General features: G+C 38.1%; 1 long non-coding RNA gene across 11 annotated transcripts in view; it reads right to left on the bottom strand.

The window, feature by feature from the left end:
- MIR3976HG (MIR3976 host gene) overlaps positions 1-17,003 on the bottom strand; it is a 165,609-nt gene that overhangs the window by 108,542 nt on the left and 40,064 nt on the right. For 10 of the 11 annotated variants that reach the window (NR_172496.1, NR_172498.1, NR_172503.1 and 7 more), the window contains one exon: positions 12,124-12,279. This is a non-coding gene — a long non-coding RNA (MIR3976 host gene). Of the gene's footprint in view, positions 1-9,964; positions 11,073-12,123; positions 12,280-17,003 lie in introns of those variants that run through there. The other variant, NR_038839.1, reaches the window with a different exon arrangement.

The following is a 17,003-nucleotide window of genomic DNA, read 5'->3' as shown; positions in this document are numbered from 1 at the left end:
ATGGATTCAATAATCAAATCAAAAAATAAAGTTTTTCAGAGATACAATTGTCTAAGGAAATAATTACAATGGAATACAATTAGGAAATAATAGCAGAGAAATTTTGGGAAACACCCAAATATGTGGATGTTAAACAATATATTTCTAAATAACCAATGGATCAAGGAAGATATCAAAAGAGAAATCAGAAAATATTTTGAGATGAATTAAAATGAAAACACGACATACCCAAACTTTTGGGATGCAGCTAAAACAATGTTTAGGGGAAATTTATAGTTTTAAATTTCTATATTATAATGAGAAAGATCTCAAATTTTGTAATCTAAACTTTTCCCTAAAACAGTGAAAAAAAGAAGAGCAAGCTAAATATAAAGCAAGCAGGAAGGCAGAGCATTATAAAGATTAAGTTGAAAATTAATGATATAGATAATGGAAATACAGAGGAATTCAATGAAACCAAAAACTGGTTAAAAATATCAAAAAATCACAAAACTGTAGCTAGATTGACCAAAAAACAAGACTCAAGTTACTAAAATTAGAACTAAAAAAGAGATATTTCTTCTGACCTTATGGAAATACAAAGGTTCATAAATGAATCCTATGAATATTTGTTGTATTAGTCCATTTCATGTTGCTATAAAGAAATATCTCAGGTTAATTTTTTTAAAAAAAGAGGTTTATTTGGCTCACAGTTCTGCAGATTGTATAAGAAGCATGGTGTCAGCATCTGCTTCTAGTAAGGGCTTCAGAGAGCTCCAGTTATGATGAAAGTGGACGGATACTCAGCAGCATGTGACATGGCAAGACAGGAGGAAAGAGAGAGAAAGTGCTATGATCTTTTGAACACCCAGCTCTCACATGAATAGAAATGAGTTCTAATAAAGATTATTACAGAAGAGCACCAAGACATCCACGAGGGACCCACTTCCATGACACAAACACATCTCAGTAGGCCCCATCTCCAACATGGGGGTCACATTTTAACATGAGATTTGGAGAGGATAAATATCCAGATCATATTAGTTGTATGACAACAAATTAGATTACTTAAATGAAATAGATACATTCCTAGAAAGACACAAATTACTGTGACTGATTTCAGCAGAAATAGACAATCTGAATAGACTTTTAACAAATGAAGAGACTGAATTAGTGACCCAAAAACTACCCACAAAGGAAAGCCCAGGTCCAGAAGCCTTCATGGGTGAAGTCTGCAAAACATTTTAGGAACCCTTAATACTGACTTTTCATAAACTCTTCCAAAAAAGCAGAAAAGGATTAAATACTTCCTGTATTAATTTGTTCTCACACTGCTATGAAGAACTACCCGAGACTGGGTAATTTATGAAGAAAAGAGGTTTAGTTAACTCACAGTTCCACAGGCTTAACAGGAAACATGACCGGGAGGCCTCAGAAGCAGGAGAAGCATGCATCTGCTTCACATGGAGGCAGGAGAAAGAGAGGGAGAGAGGGCAAGGAGAAAACTTCCATACATTTTTAAACTGTCAGATCTTGTAAGAACTCACTCACTATCATGAGAACAGCATGGGGGAAATCCATCCCCATGATCCAATTACCTCCCACCAGATCCCTCCCACAACATTGGGAATTACAATTCAACATGAGATTTGGGTGGGAATACAGAGCCAAACCATACCATTACACCCCTGGCCACCCCCAAATTTCATGTTCTCATGTTTGAAAACATAATCATGCCTTCTCAATCGTCCCCCAAAGTCTTAATTCATTTCAGCATTAAATCAAAAGTCCAAGTCCAAAGTATGATCTGAGACAAGGCAAGTTCCTTCTGCCTATGAGCCCGTAGAATAAAAATCATGTCAGTTACTTCCAAGATACAATGAGGGTACAGGTATTGGGTAAATGCTCCTGTTCCAAATGGGAGAAATTGGCCAAAACAAAGGGACTACAGGCCCCATGCAAGTCTGAAACCCTGCAAGATAGTCATTAAATCTTAAAGCTCCAAAATAATTTCCTTTGACTCCATGTCTGACATTCAGGGCATGCTGATGCAAGGAGTGGGTTCCTGAAGCCTTGGGCAGTTCTGCCCCTGCAGTGTACAGCCCCCTTGGCTACTTTCATGGGCTAGCACTGAGTGTCTGCAGCTCAGTGCAAGCTGTTGGTGGATCTACCATTCTAGGATCTGGAGTATGGTGGCTGTCTTCTCATAGCTCCACCAGGCAATGTCTCAGTGGAGATTCTGTGTGGGGGCTCCAACCCCACATTTCCCCTCTGCATTACCCTAGTAGATGTCCTCCACGAGGGCTCCACTTTTGCAGCAGACTTCTGCCTGGACATTCAAGCATTTCCATACATTTTCTGGAATCTGAAATCTAGGCAGAGACCCCCAAATCTCAATTCTTACCTTCTGTATAGGCCCAACACCATGTGGAAGCTGCCACGGCTTGGCAGGGCTTTCACTCTCTGAATCTATGGCCTGAACTGTACCTTGGCAGCTTTTAGCCATGGCTGGAGCTGGAGCAACTGGGACACAAGGTGCCATGTCCTGAGGCTGCACAGTGCAGCTGCGCCCTGAGCCTGACCCATGAAACCATTTTTCCCTCCTAGGCCTCTGGACCTATGATGGGAGGGATTGCTGTGAAGACCTCTGAAATGCCCTGGGGATGTTTTCCCCATTGTCTTGGCTATTAACATTCAGCTCTGCCTTACTTATGCAAATTTCTGCAGCCAGCTTGAAAAATGAGTTTTTATTTTCTACCACATGGTCAGGCTGCAAATTCTCCAAACTTTTACACTCTGCTTCCCTTTTAAATATAAGTTCTCTTTGCTTATGCAAATGAGTGTAGGCTTTTAGGAGCAGCTGGGCCACATCTCGAATGCTTTGCTGCTTAGAAATTTCTTCTGCCAGATACACTAAATCATCTCTCTTAAGTTCAAAGATCTACAGATCCCTAGAGCAGGGGCACAATGCCTTGTTTTTTTGCTAAAGTATAATAAGAGTGATCTTTGCTCTAGTTCCCAATAAGTTCCTCCCTTCCATCTGAGACCACCTCGTCCTGGACTTCATTGTCCATATCACTATCAGTATTTTCATTACAACCATCCAACAAGTCTCTATGAAGTTTCCAAACTTTCCCACATCTTCCTATCTTCCTCTGAGTCCTCCAAACTGATCCATCCTCTGCCCATTACAAAGTTCCAAAGTTGCTTCCACATTTATGGGTATCTTTATAGAAATACCCTACTTCTAGTATCAGTTTTCTGTATTAGTGCATTCTCACACTGCTATAAAGAACTACCCAAGAGTGGGTAATTTGTGAAGAAAAGAGGTTTAATTGACTCATAGTTCCTCAGGTCTAACAGGAGCATGACTAGGAGACCTCAGGAAACTTATAATTATGGCAGAAGGTGAAGGGGAAGCAAGTACCTTCTTCACATGGCAGCAGGAGAGAGAGAGAGAGAGAAAGAGCAAAGGGGGAAGTGCCACATACTTTTAAAACATCAGATCTCATGGGAACTCACTGATTGTCACAAGAACAGCATGAGGGAAATCTGCCCCCATGATCCAATCACCTCCCACTAGGTCCCTCCCCCAACATTGAATTAGAATTCAACATGAGATTTGGATGGGGACACAGAGTCAAATCACATCACTTCATAACTCATTTTATGAGGCCAGTATTATCCTGATATACAAACAAGATAAATACATCACACAAAAAATAGACCAATATATCTTATAAATATGGATGTAAAAATACTCAACAAAACACAAACAAACTGACCACATGATTATAAAAAGAACCATGACCGTGACCAAATGGGATTTATCCCAGGAATGTAAGGTTGGTTCAAAATTCAAAAATCAATTAATCTAATACAGTATCACACTACAATTTTTTTAAAACTCACTTTATCATCTCAAAAAAACACAGAAAATGCATTTCACAAAATCCAACATCCTTTAATAATAGGAACACTAAAAAAAGAAGAAAATATTATCAACTTGATAAAGTCCGTCTACAAAAAATTCACAGCTAGTGTCATACTGAACAGTGAAAGAATGGATGCTTTTCCTCCTGAAATCAGTAATAAGAAAAAAATGTTCTTTCTCACTACTTCTATTTTACATTTTATTAGAGGTTTTAGCCAGGCAAATTAGGCAAGAAAAAGAAATAAAAGATCAATCCAATTGGAAAGGAAGAAGTAAAATTATCTCTATTCTCAGATAACATAATCTTATATATAAAAAATTGTAAGAAATCTGCTAAAAAGTGATTAGAGCCAATAAATGAGTTCAGCAAGGTTATAGATGTAAGAACAATATACAAAAAAATCAACTGTAGTTCTGTAGACTTACAATGAGCAATCTGAAAATTAAATTAAAAAGTAATTTTTTTCACAATAGCATCAAAAAGAATACATAGTAATAAATTTAACAAAAGAAGTGTAAAACCTATGGTGTGAAAACTACAAAATGTAATTTAAAGAAGTTAAAGGTCTAAATAGATGGAAAAATATTCCACACTCATGGATCAGAAGACTTAACATTGTTAAGATGGCAATACTCCCTAAACTGATCTACAGATTCAACAAAATTTCTATTAGAATTTCAGCTGACTTACCTGTAGAAACTGACAAGATGATTGTAACATTCATATGGAATTGCAACAGACCCATAATATCTAAAACAATTCTGAAAAAGGGCAAAGGAGGAGGACTTTAACTTCCCAATTTGAAAACTCACCATAAGCAACAGTAATCAAGACAGTGGTTCTGGCACAAGGACAGACATATAAGTCAGTGAAATAAAATTGAGGGAATACCAAGAAATAAACCCATACCTGTATGACCAGTGAGACAGGGTGGAGTGGAGTGGCGCAAACACAGCTCACTGCAGCCTCAACTTCCCGGCTTAAGTGACCCTCCTGACTCAACCCTCCACATAGCTGGGACTACAGGCATGTACCACCCCTGCCTGAGTGTATTTTTTGTAGAGATAGGGTTTCACCATGTTGCCCAGGCTGGTCTCAAACTCCTGAGCTCAAGTGATTCGTCCACCTCAGCATCCCAAAGTTCTGGAATTACATGCATGATCCACTGCGCTCAGCTCCAGCTGATTTTTTGACAAGGGTACCAAGAACATTCAATGAGTAAAGAATAGACTTCTCAATAAATGCTGCTGGAAAAATGGAGAGCCATATGCAAAAGAATAGGATTAGCACTTTACCTCATACTATATGCAAAAATCAACTCAAAATGGATCAGAGCCCTAAAGATAAGAGCTAAAACTAAAAAACGTATAGAAAAATTATAGGCATAAATCTTTATGACCTCAGATTTGGCAAAGGATTCTTAGCTATGACACCAAAAGCATGTGCAATGAAAGAAAAAATAAATGGAATTTTATTAAAATTAAAAACTCTTGTGCTTCAGCAGACACCATCAAGAAAGTGAAATATTTACAGAATGGAATAAAATATTTGCCATATATCTAATAAGGGACTTGTATCTAGAATATATAAAGAACTCTTACAACTCAATAAAAAGACAAATAACCCAATTTAAAAATGGGCAGAAGATCAGAACATGCATTTCTCCAAGAAAGATAATACAAATGACCAATAAGCATATGAAAAGATACTTGACATTATTAGCCAGGACAGAAGTGCAAATTAAAACCACAACGAGATACCATTTCACACACATCAGGATAGCTAGAATAAAAAAGACATAAATAAGTTTGGTGAGAATGTGAAGAAATCAAAACATGCATTCACTGCCGGTAGGAATGTAAAATGGTGTAGCCATTTTGGAAAACAGTCTGGAATTCCTCAAACAATTAAACAGAGAATTACCATATGATCCAGCATTTCCATCCTTGGGGATACACCCAAGAGAAATGAAAACATTTCCACATAAACACTTAGATATTATAGATAATGATGCTGTAAACATTAGTGTACCTGATCCCAAATGTTAATCCACAGACAAATGGGTAAAAGAAATGTGATATACCCAAACAATGGAATATTATTTGGCTATAAAAGAGAATCATACTGATACATTCTAACATGTGGATGAACTTTGAAAACATATTAAGTGAAATAGTCACAAAAGATCACATGTGATATAATTCTGTTCATACGAAAGTTCGAAATAGGAAAATCTATAGACATAGATTAGTTGTTGATTAGAGCTGAGGAAGTTGGGATGGAGGTAGAGGGGTGATAGCTAAAATGTATGGAGTTTCTTTCTGAGGCAATAAAAATGTTCTAAAATTAACTGTGATGGTGGTTTCATATATCTGCAAATATACCAAAAACAGTTGAATTGCACACTTTGAGTAAATTATATCTCAATAAGGCTGTTTATGAGAATCTGTCAGGTACTGTCCAAATGGAAGCTAATATCGTTTCTTTTTTCTTGAGTTACATGACATTTAAAAGGCTAGTTATGCAATGTCATTACAGCCCTCAGAAATAAATTTTTCTTAATGTTCAAGGAAATCATTAAAATTATAAAATATATCAAGACCATTAGGTGAGAATTTCTTCATGTTATTGTTATAAGCAATCATCATCTTACACAGAATTTGTTATTTAAAATTGAAAGATATTTGGTTCTATTTTATTGAAAATCTATATTCTTAATATTAGCCTAATGGTTTCCTTTCTGAGCAGAAAGATAATTCCAGGGAAAGGTGTATTTGGCTTCTGGTTTGATAGTCTTCATAAATGTGTTCTAGTTTGTTACACTTTGCTCATGTCATCATCTTCTAAATGTAGCACATTATATAATATTTATTGTTTTTCAAACGTGAGATAAAATAATTTTGCAGAAATAACAGAGAACTTTTACATAGGATTGGAATTTTAATTTATAAATATAGAAAAATATTTTTCTTATCTGCAAATTTAATGGCTTTTTTTCTAAAAAATTTTGGCTTTGTAACAAATTTTAAACATAAATAAGTGTTTATCTGTTCTAGAAAATAATATCCAAAGACGAAATGGGGAATAGTTAGTACAGAAACAGCCCAGTATGCATTTTCAAATAATTTTCTAATATTAGCAATTGTAAGGAAGCTGGTGGCCATTCTCCTCTTTGTCCATGATCAATTGAAAATTAAAAAGATAAATGATGCTCCAAATTGGTCTTCTAGAAGGATGCCCAGATGGCTCCATATATGGAAACCTGTGTCTTTATTCTCCAGGTAAGACAAGTCATTAGTTGTGGGACTTAGAGTCTGAGGCAAGGGTAGGATATTCCATGAGATACATGTTATGATTAGTAATATTAAATGATGCTTACAGATAAGAAGTTTGAGAATGACTTTAAAATTATTCTGTTTTTATGTTGCTGCACCATGAACCAATGCTTAACAATGCTGAATAAAACAACATTCAAGTATCTTATGTCAGTCACTAACCTATGATTACATTACTCAAACATGGCCAGGAAGAGGACCTGACTTACATTTGGAAGCATATTTAAGTGATTAATATAACAACACAGCAAATAGTGGTCTCTAGAGTTGGCCCAGTTGCATGCTGCTTTTCTATTCCTGGCCTGAAACACAAGATCCAAATGTTGCTGTTTTCCTTCACTGTGGCAAATGAGATTTTTCAGACCTGATTGCTTAGTGACTTTTAACATATGTAGCTTAATCTAAAAGAAAATAATCAATGAGCTTTCCCAGTTCCTTAAAATCCCTAGGCCAAATAGTCTTGAATCAAAGCAGCTCAGGCTAAATCAGATGAAAAGATCACAGAAAAACTATGTAGGCATCTGAGAATCTGGGAGGGTTTGAGTGATGGAGCATGGCCCAGGAGTTGGCCCTAATTGGACAATCAAAGAACATTTCCAAAGCACAGTCTATTGATTCGGAAGTTGAATGTTCTTTGATTATGTAATAACTGATTGATAATGGCAGCTTAGGTGTCTTTTTTTCTTCAAGCATTTTCTTCAAGTTGGAAAATATTCACTATCAGGTAACAGTTTCAAGGATAATTGATAAACTATGGTCAATTAACAATCTTAGCAGAATTCTCTCCTCATCAGTAATTTCACCCAATAATTCTAACGTGGAGTTGTAGGAAGCCATCAAGTCAACCTCAATAAGACCAAGTGGCTTGACCTTGGTCATATTGATGATTAATTAGAAGAGATTCCGGGTGCCACAATTCCTAGTGGAAGCTCTTACTACTCTATCACCAATATCTTTTCTATGGTTCTCAAAGTGTGGTCTCTGAATCAGCAGCTCCAACATCACCTGGAATGTTCTAACAGAAATACAAATGTTAGAAATGCAAACCTCAACCTTGGTCTGCTGAATCAGAAACTCTTGGGGGTGGGGCCTAGCAATCTAGGGTTTCATAAACCCTCCAAATGATTCTAGTGCACACTGATGTTTAATAGCTACTTCTACATATACCCTGGTAACTGCATATCTATCTAATAACTTCAGTGCATATCAAGATATAAACTATTTCCCGAAACAAAGATTCTAAATTACATGCCACACAGGTTTAGTATGCAGGGACACTCTCTTGCATTCTACTTGCTTGAAAAATGCCTTTACTCAGGGAGATTTGATTAAGACTGTAGCAGATGGAGAACTTACTGCATTTGTAACTTATCACACAACATTGGGTTTCTCAAGGTAAGCTGTTCATTCAGATACTTGTCAAACAGTTACATTCAGCTTATGAACTGTTGGCTGTCATCGCCACAGGAACTGGAATATTTACCCAAAGTGAACATTTTAATTAACTCAGAACACCATCTAGTCCTTTTCTCCAAACGTACAGTAACCTCCCCATCAGCACAGAACTGTGGTCTTTTTAATTAAGGCCATTGTTTAAAAGGGGTGGGGGGAACGCCTTGCTACATCATTTAAGATCCTGATTTCGTTATTTAACTAGTAAGTTGTTTTCCCCTGAAGGCTTTGCAGACACTGGCTCACCAGGAGATTTCTGCCTTTAATTTACCTACTCAGGCTCATTTGAGAAACACATTTTCAGCAAGTTTTCACTCAATTTCCATATTGTCTAATTCAGCCAAACCAGTCACTAGAAGCTTATATAGGATTAAAACATTCGTATTCTCTTACATCGTGGTCCAGGGATAAACTCTCTATCTAGCTAAATTAAGGTGACAATACCAGCTACTGAAGCACTATTGAAACACCGGGGATGATTTCCTGTAAACTTCGCCCTCCCATCCCACCCCCCACCAACCCATGGCATGAGGCTAGAGAACACAGGGAACCTTGTTTCAATCTACACAGGTTAGGAGCAAACATCACATCTTTTATCCCCTTTCATGTTAATTTTAGTGGGTGGCATTTTGGCTCTTCATTTATTTGGCGAAGGAGGAGCATGGCAAGACTTTTGGCAGGACGCAGGGGACAAGACTCCCAAATCTCAGGTGCTTCAGGTACCCTCTCCTGCAAGCTCTTACTTCTCTTTTTTTTTTCTCCCCGAGACGGAGTCTCGCTCTGTCGCCCAGGCTGGAGTGCAGTGGCGCGATCTCAGCTCACTGCGAGCTCCGCCTCCCGGGTTCACGCCATTCTCCTGCCTCAGCCTCCCGAGTAGCTGGGACTACAGGCGCCCTCCACCACGCCCAGCTAATTTTTTGTATTTTTTAGTCGAGACGGGGTTTCACCGTGTTAGCCAGGATGGTCTCGATCTCCTGACCTCGTGATCCAGCCCGCCTCAGCCTCCCAAAGTGCTGGGATTACAGGCGTGAGCCACCGCGCCCAGCCTCTCACTTCTCTTTCTACCTGCTCTGCACGTTCTCACTTCCCTCCTTGTAGCCTCCCAGGGTGCATCCAACGAATTTGTTTTCACGGGGAATAAACAGGTGTCCCTCATGAACAGAACATGGGCTGATTTGCACAACCAGAATTAAAATAAAGGGCCCCAAAGGGAAGCCTTTCGTAAAATGAACTATGTTCAAAACATGATCCAGGAGAGCAGGCTTGTTTAATTTAAGGAGAGATGGAGAGCTTTATTTTATTAACAAAATACCTGAAGGAATTCTGCTCCCAGTTCAGACTCTTTAATCACATCAATGTTAGCACTGAGGGTTGGTCTAGCTCAGATGCTGGAGATGATGTTTTGACAAATTCAGGGGAGATACAGCTTGGCAAGTATTCACTAGGTTCACACTGCTTCCATTTCATCCGTTCTCTCCACATTTGCTAGTTCTTCTGAATCTTCTATTTTTTGGTTACTATCAGTAGATTTAATAAGAATTTTTAATATAGCATTTCTAATCTAATGCCATATTAGTATTCCTGAAAAACCTTATGGTCTGCATAATTACATGCTAAAAACTACACGACTTATGGAAAAGAAACAGGATTACAGTGGATCATTCAAAACCTATAGAACCTTGTAATCAGGAAGTAACAAAACATTAGTAATCCTAATTAAAATATTGGTACAGTTAATTCTCCACTGAGATTTGCACCTAGATTCATTCCAAACATGGTTGTAGCCTGATATGCCTAGGACTCATGTTTTCTTCCTCAGGCTGAAGTTCTTGAAGCCATTTACTTCTGATAATGAGACCAGTTTCATAAACATTAAAAACATGATCCGAAGGTCACCCTCATCAGTCAATTTTTGTTGACATAGAAAAATTTGTAGCTTCTTCATCTGCATTTGCAGCTTCTCCAGATAGCTTAATGTAGTGCACTGGTTGTCAAAGTGTGGTCCTCAGACCAGCAGCTTCATGCAGAAATTTGTTAGAAATGCCAATCGTTAGGTGGTATTTCAGACCCATGGAAACAGAAACCCTCTGGGAATGGGGGTTGGCCAAGAGGGGGAGCCCAGACTTCTGTGTTTTAACAAGTTTTCTAGGTAATTGTGATGTACTAACGTCTTAGAACAACGGACATACTGAAAAATGTCACTGTTCTTGAAGCCACCATACTAGCCACTTCTTGCGGAAGGCATTTCTGCGTAATTTCAGGTTTCTTTCCATAAAAGTCTCCATATATTGATAAGACTTTGATTTAATGGTGAGAAAGCTGGCTTCTGATCTTGTCACAACATTGTCATACTGGAAAAATAAACTGTTTGCTGACAAGACCAACAAAATTCACATCAATTCCCTACTGACCAATAGCATATGAACTGAGTCACATTAAATAATATCATGTTGTAGTTAAACAGATTGATACAACAAAATTGTTAGGTACAGTGGAAAGAGCATTGGCTTTAGAGAGCAACTGACTGAGTCTGAAAAGTCACTTCATCTCTCAATGCCTCTCATCCTCCATCTACAAATTGGGGATAGTAACCTCTGCATTGTGGAGTGCCAAGGTGTGTGAAGGAGACGATGGACATAAAATGTCTAGAATACAGCAGATGCTTGAGTAGATTCTAATTCCCTGCCCTTCATTGTTTTTCTTATAAAGTACTTTACTAAAAGAAAATGAAAAATAGAGGCAGAATACATTTATAGAGATATGATAGCTGATTTCTTTCAAGTTTGTTCTGTTTTTCCTTGTCTGGTTCTTGTAGGTGATGACTTACGTCAGACTGGGATGAGCAATGTGAATCAAACTGAAAGTAAAAACACTAATGGAATTGAGAGTGATTGTATTATTTTCTACAAACTCACCTGGGAATGAAATAAATCATTTAACAATTACAAAGGTGCCCCAAATATTATAACATTACACAGGATATTAATGGTTACACAAATAATGATTTCATTTAAACATCTACAAATTTTATATTAGTAGTCGATGTTAAAGTAGTCGTTCTAATAACATGACTGTGGTAGCAACACTTTCATGTTACAGTTATGAAAGCAGAGGTAAAGTCTGCCATGACCACAGCTATATTCACCAGCACCTGACACAGCACCAGGAAGGACGTATATGTTCAACAAATACTTGTTGAATGAATAAATGTCATGTTTTAGGTAATTCAAAGTAATTTCATACATATTTTATCTGAATCCCTAGAACACTAACACTTGGTAGGCTGAGAAGATTATGAATTCCATTTTATAAGTATGAAAGGTAAAATGACAGATAGAAAGGAAAAATGACAGATAGAAACTCAGAGATGTAAAGGTCAAGGTCTTAAAATTTTGGCAGAGGTTCAGACTTTCACAACTTACTTAATCTACAGAGACACAATCTGCTCTGAAATATTTACAGTCTGTGCATGAGCTTTCTTCCAAATGAGGCTTTCTTCTATTTGAAGTTCATATTTGGTGCGATGTGCAGCTGGCTGCCAACATATGCATTGACCGAACTCTTGGGTCAGAGGTCCCCTGTAGAAGGATTCAAGAGAGGATAAGAGATAATGGAATTTTTCCTCTGGGCTTAGTCAGAGCTGAAACCTTCTGCCTAGTATCATATTATTTTTACTTAAAATACATAATTTAAAAACTTCTAGTAAAATAGATTGTTCTAAGAATATTGGCATTCTTCTGCTCTCATGACTACATTGAACCTGTGATCTTATCAAGAGAGGATCATTTCCATTTGCTTAAGGTGTATGTGTAACTTTATTGCTAGACAAATCTTCAGTCTAAAGAAATACCAGGCTGTAAACAGACCTCCCATAATTTCATTACTATAGATAAAACATACATAACTTCCCCAACGAATACGCCAATAGTTACGGACTTATGGGCAATGACAAGAGTCAAGGAACTGAGCAAAATCTGTGAGGTAATGAAATCCAAGAGGCATAGAATCAAACATTACTGAGTTAAGAAAACAGTAGCTACAATTTTAAAGCATAGAGCAGTATCTGAATAGGCATAGGATATAAAATGGTTGCACTGTCACAGATAATATGGAAGACAAAAACACACACAGACACTCAAGTAGAAAGTGTGAAAATTATTTATGCAGCTTAATTTAACATGTTCTTGTTTATTCTTCCTAAAAGCATTTGATTTCTCTGAGTGCTGGTAAAAATAAATTATAGTAGTCAGTAAAACACTATTCCAGTCCAGTGGAAAATTATACTTAAGCGTAAAGAATGATTTACTTGGAACTAGTAGCCAATAATTCTTTTTCCTTCTCTCTTTTTCTTTGTTTTAGTTTCACGGGTGCCAGCTTTTTATATTGGTAAACTCATGTCATGGGTGTCTGTTGTACAGATTATTTCATCATGCAGGTACTAAGCTTAGTACCCAATAGTTACTTTTTCTGCTCCTCTCCCTCCTCCCACTCTTCATCCTCTGATAGGCCTCAGTGCCTGTTGTTTTCCTCTTTGTGTCCATGTGTTCTCATTATTTAGCTCCTACTTATAAGTGAGAGCATTTAGTATCTGGTTTTCTGTTCCTGCTTTAGTTTGCTAAGGATATCATTATCCAGCTCCATCCATGTTTCTGCAAAAGACATGATGTTGTTCTTTTTTATGGCTGCATAGTATTCCACGGTATATATGTACCACGTTTTCTTTATACAGTCTACCTCTCTTTAATAATGTTTATACAACTTTAAATAAACTTATATAACTTTAAATACATTTGTATAAAAACAACTTTAATAAGATGTTTTATTAAAGTCATTTTGTTTGCTTGAAATTTTAATTTTGTAAGTTTTTTAGTTTGACTGAAAGATGCATTTCCAAACTGGAGACCTGGAGCTGGGATTCTGCTAAGCAGGCCAGTCAACATTCTGCTGTTGCTCATGCTTGTGGGCCTGACTTCAGAATGATTGCACGATCTCAAAATCTCAGTGTGCTTTTCTGCACAGTTAGAAGAATTAGAAGTAGTTAAAATTTAGAAACTGCATTAAATATCATGTATTTAAATCTGAAACACTGAGGAGACTTCTAAGAGCTGATCTTGTTGGATAGGAAAAAAATAGAAAGGATTATTATCTCCCACTTCAATTCATGTGAAGCTCAGGAAAATCTCATTCGATTTTGTTCAAATTATGCTCTCGCTCTGTGTGAATGATATATGCTATTTGAGAAAATGAGGGAAATGATCAGCTCTACGTTAATAGTCCATGAAAAGATGCGCTTATTGTGTGTGTGTGCACATACGTGTGTGTGTGTGTGTGTGTGTGTGAGCTTTTATAAAAGAGATGGCTTATTTTTTTGCAAAAAGACGATAGTTAAGATTGTAGTTTAGGGAATATGAAGAGATTTATGGTCAAGTTTAGTAGGAGTAACCTTAAATAGTAATTAATTTGTGGCACGGTTATCATTTTGGTTAATTTAGCCCTTCCCTATGCACAAGGGGTGCTGGGAGCTCCATGTTAACAGCCCTTTGAATTACTGTTTCATGTTTTTTGGTACTGGAGTTGAAAAGCCCTTTTAAATCACTATGGTATGTCAAGCCAAGTATTTTCTTCAGTTCGGTTTCTAATTAAAGTTAAAAGAGGGCTTATCAGTCAGTCACTGAAAAGTAAGAAATACACTGAACAAAAAATAATTTTATTCCAAACTTTTGTCCCTGACAATGATAAGAAGTTGTCCTTAGAAAGAAATAGGAGGTCTGGGCATGGTGGCTCATGCCTGTAATCCGAGCACATTGGGAAGTGGAGGCGGGCAGATCACTTGAGGCCAGGAGTTCGAGACCAGCCTGGTCAACATGGCAAAACCCTGTCTCTACTAAAAATACAAAAATTAGCTGGGCGTGCCTCACTTCCCAGCTACTTGGTTCAAGTCAGGGTATGGCACTGGGCAGCTCTTGATCTAGTCAAGAACTTCCCCCTCCTGCCTTAGACACAACCTGTGCCCTAGGCTCTCAGATCCTCCATCCCCACGGAGTCCTGTCTCCCCTCCTATTCCCTTAGGTCTTGTGCTCTCTAGAACAATGGGGGAGTCCATAGGAGTAAGGAGGTTGATGCCCTACTGATCCGGAGCCCCAGCTGAACCACTGGCACTTTGATTGGACCTCCAAAAAAACATTCAGGGACATTTTAAAAAATGCCTTTCTCTATGGCAAGACTTCCCATAGTGGTTAGACATTGGAAGCAAGGAAACATTATAAAGCAAAACCTTTTGAATGTATTCATTCATGTATTGACTTATTCATAGTCATTTATTTCTTTTTTTAAGTCAACAAACATTTTCCCACTATATTAGTTGCCTATTGTTGCTGTAACAAATTACCACAAACTCAGTAGTTCAAGACAACACAGAACTAATTTTCTTACACTCTGGAGGTCAGAAGTTCAAATTCAGTTTAACTGGGCTAAGGTGAAAGTGTTCACAGGGCAGGTTCCTTCTGGAGGAAATAGGGAGAATCTATTTCCTTGTCTTTTTCTGTTTCCAGCAGCCCTCTCCATTCCTTGGCTTGTGGCCACTTCCTCCATCTTCAAAGCATGTGATTTCATTCTCTGCTTCCATTGTCACATTGCCTTCTCCTCTCACCCCAATTCCTCCTGGCTCCCTCTTACAAGGATTGTGTGATTACATCAGATCCATTCAGATAATCTAGGATAATCTCATCTCAAGACCCTCAGTTTAGTCACACTTGCAAAAACCCTGTTGTCATGTAATATAAGGCAATATTCACAGGGGATTAGGACATGGACATATTTGGGGGCCATTATTCAGCTCACCACAAGCATGGCTGTGGTGCTTGCTGTTAGCAATGCAAAACCTGTCAGATTAAAGTCTATCCCAAAAGTCTTATGATTTAGGAAGATGAGATATATGTATTAGTAGCAGATTGAAAAGATATGCAGCAAGATCAACACAGATGGAAAGCCATGTATGTTCAGAAGAGGGAGAAATTTCTTCTGTGTCTGGGCAAATGGCAGCCTTCCACCCGAAGTAGTATTTGAGGCTTCAAGAAAAATAATGTAGTTGCAAGGACCACAAAATGCAAGAAGAGGGCAAACAGATGATTGTTAGGGAGGGCAGAACACATAAGGCCTAAAATTTCATGCAAAATGGGGTAGTGGGAAATAAGTTCTAAAGGAGAGTTCATGACTTCTAGGTGAGGGGGTTGTATTATGTTGGGTAGACAGCAGGAGAACCATTGAAACACATGTATTGAGATGTGCTGTAGAAAGATTATTCTGCTGACGGCAATGTGCATTATGGGCATTGGTACTTTGTGGTCTACACATGTGAGTGCGAGTCCAACCAAGGAACACACCAAAAGCCAAGCATCTCAAGCCAGTTGACAAGGGCCTACAGATTCAAGAATGAACTCTAACATATTCCCTTCCTTGGTCTTATGCACATTGTGTACATTGAGAGAGAATCAACAGAATGCTTTAAAACTGAAGATATCTCCCCAGCCTGTCAGATGCTCTCTTCATCCAATCCTCTTAAGATGTAGGATTGGGGTCAGTAGCATTTGATCATCTTTGTGATGTAGTTAAAAAGAAATAAAAAACGTGGCATCTTAAGAGAGAAGACCATTGTATCTGTATCTGTAGCATTACAACTTGCTAGTGTTGGGGCTCAGAAAACAATACCCTGCAATGAAAGTCTCAGAAGCAAAAGTTATTCTCTGATCTTCTCCTGCCCTCCTGTATCTCAGTCCCATTTTCCTTTAAGGCTATATAGAAACTAGAATCCCTCTTCCCCACAGCGGGTCATAGAAACCAGAATCTCCTTCCCCCAAAGCCAGCCATAAAACCTTAAAACACTACTCTAACTTCCCCTCCACCTTTCTGTGTAAAAAATGGCTGTTAAGAAATAGTCTGACTTACCTTATTTGACTGTAGGTCCTAATACCCCCATTCCAGAGAGGGTCCTGCCCCATACTTTGAAGGAAGAAATGCGTGTCCAGGGAGGCCAAGAAGAATCTAGACAGACAGGCCCTTGCTGGGTTTCCTCACTCAGTCTATTAGCATTAGATTGTACGTTTTTTGTCCAATCACAGTTCTACAGGGCTGTCCATGCTTTGTTAAACCTAAGCATAAAAAATGTCAATTTCCGGCTGGGTGCAGTGGCTCACACCTGTAATCCTAGCACTTTGGGAGGCTGAGGCAGGCAGATCACTTGAGGTCAGGAGTTCAAAACCAGCTTGGTTTACCTGGTGAAACCCCGTCTCTACTAAAAATACAA

Source organism: Homo sapiens, chromosome 18 (genome assembly GCF_000001405.40).
Source record: "Homo sapiens chromosome 18, GRCh38.p14 Primary Assembly".
NCBI lineage: Eukaryota > Metazoa > Chordata > Mammalia > Primates > Hominidae > Homo > Homo sapiens.
The sequence above is the reverse complement of the archived record's forward strand: the minus strand, read 5'-3'. Positions and strand labels throughout refer to the sequence as shown.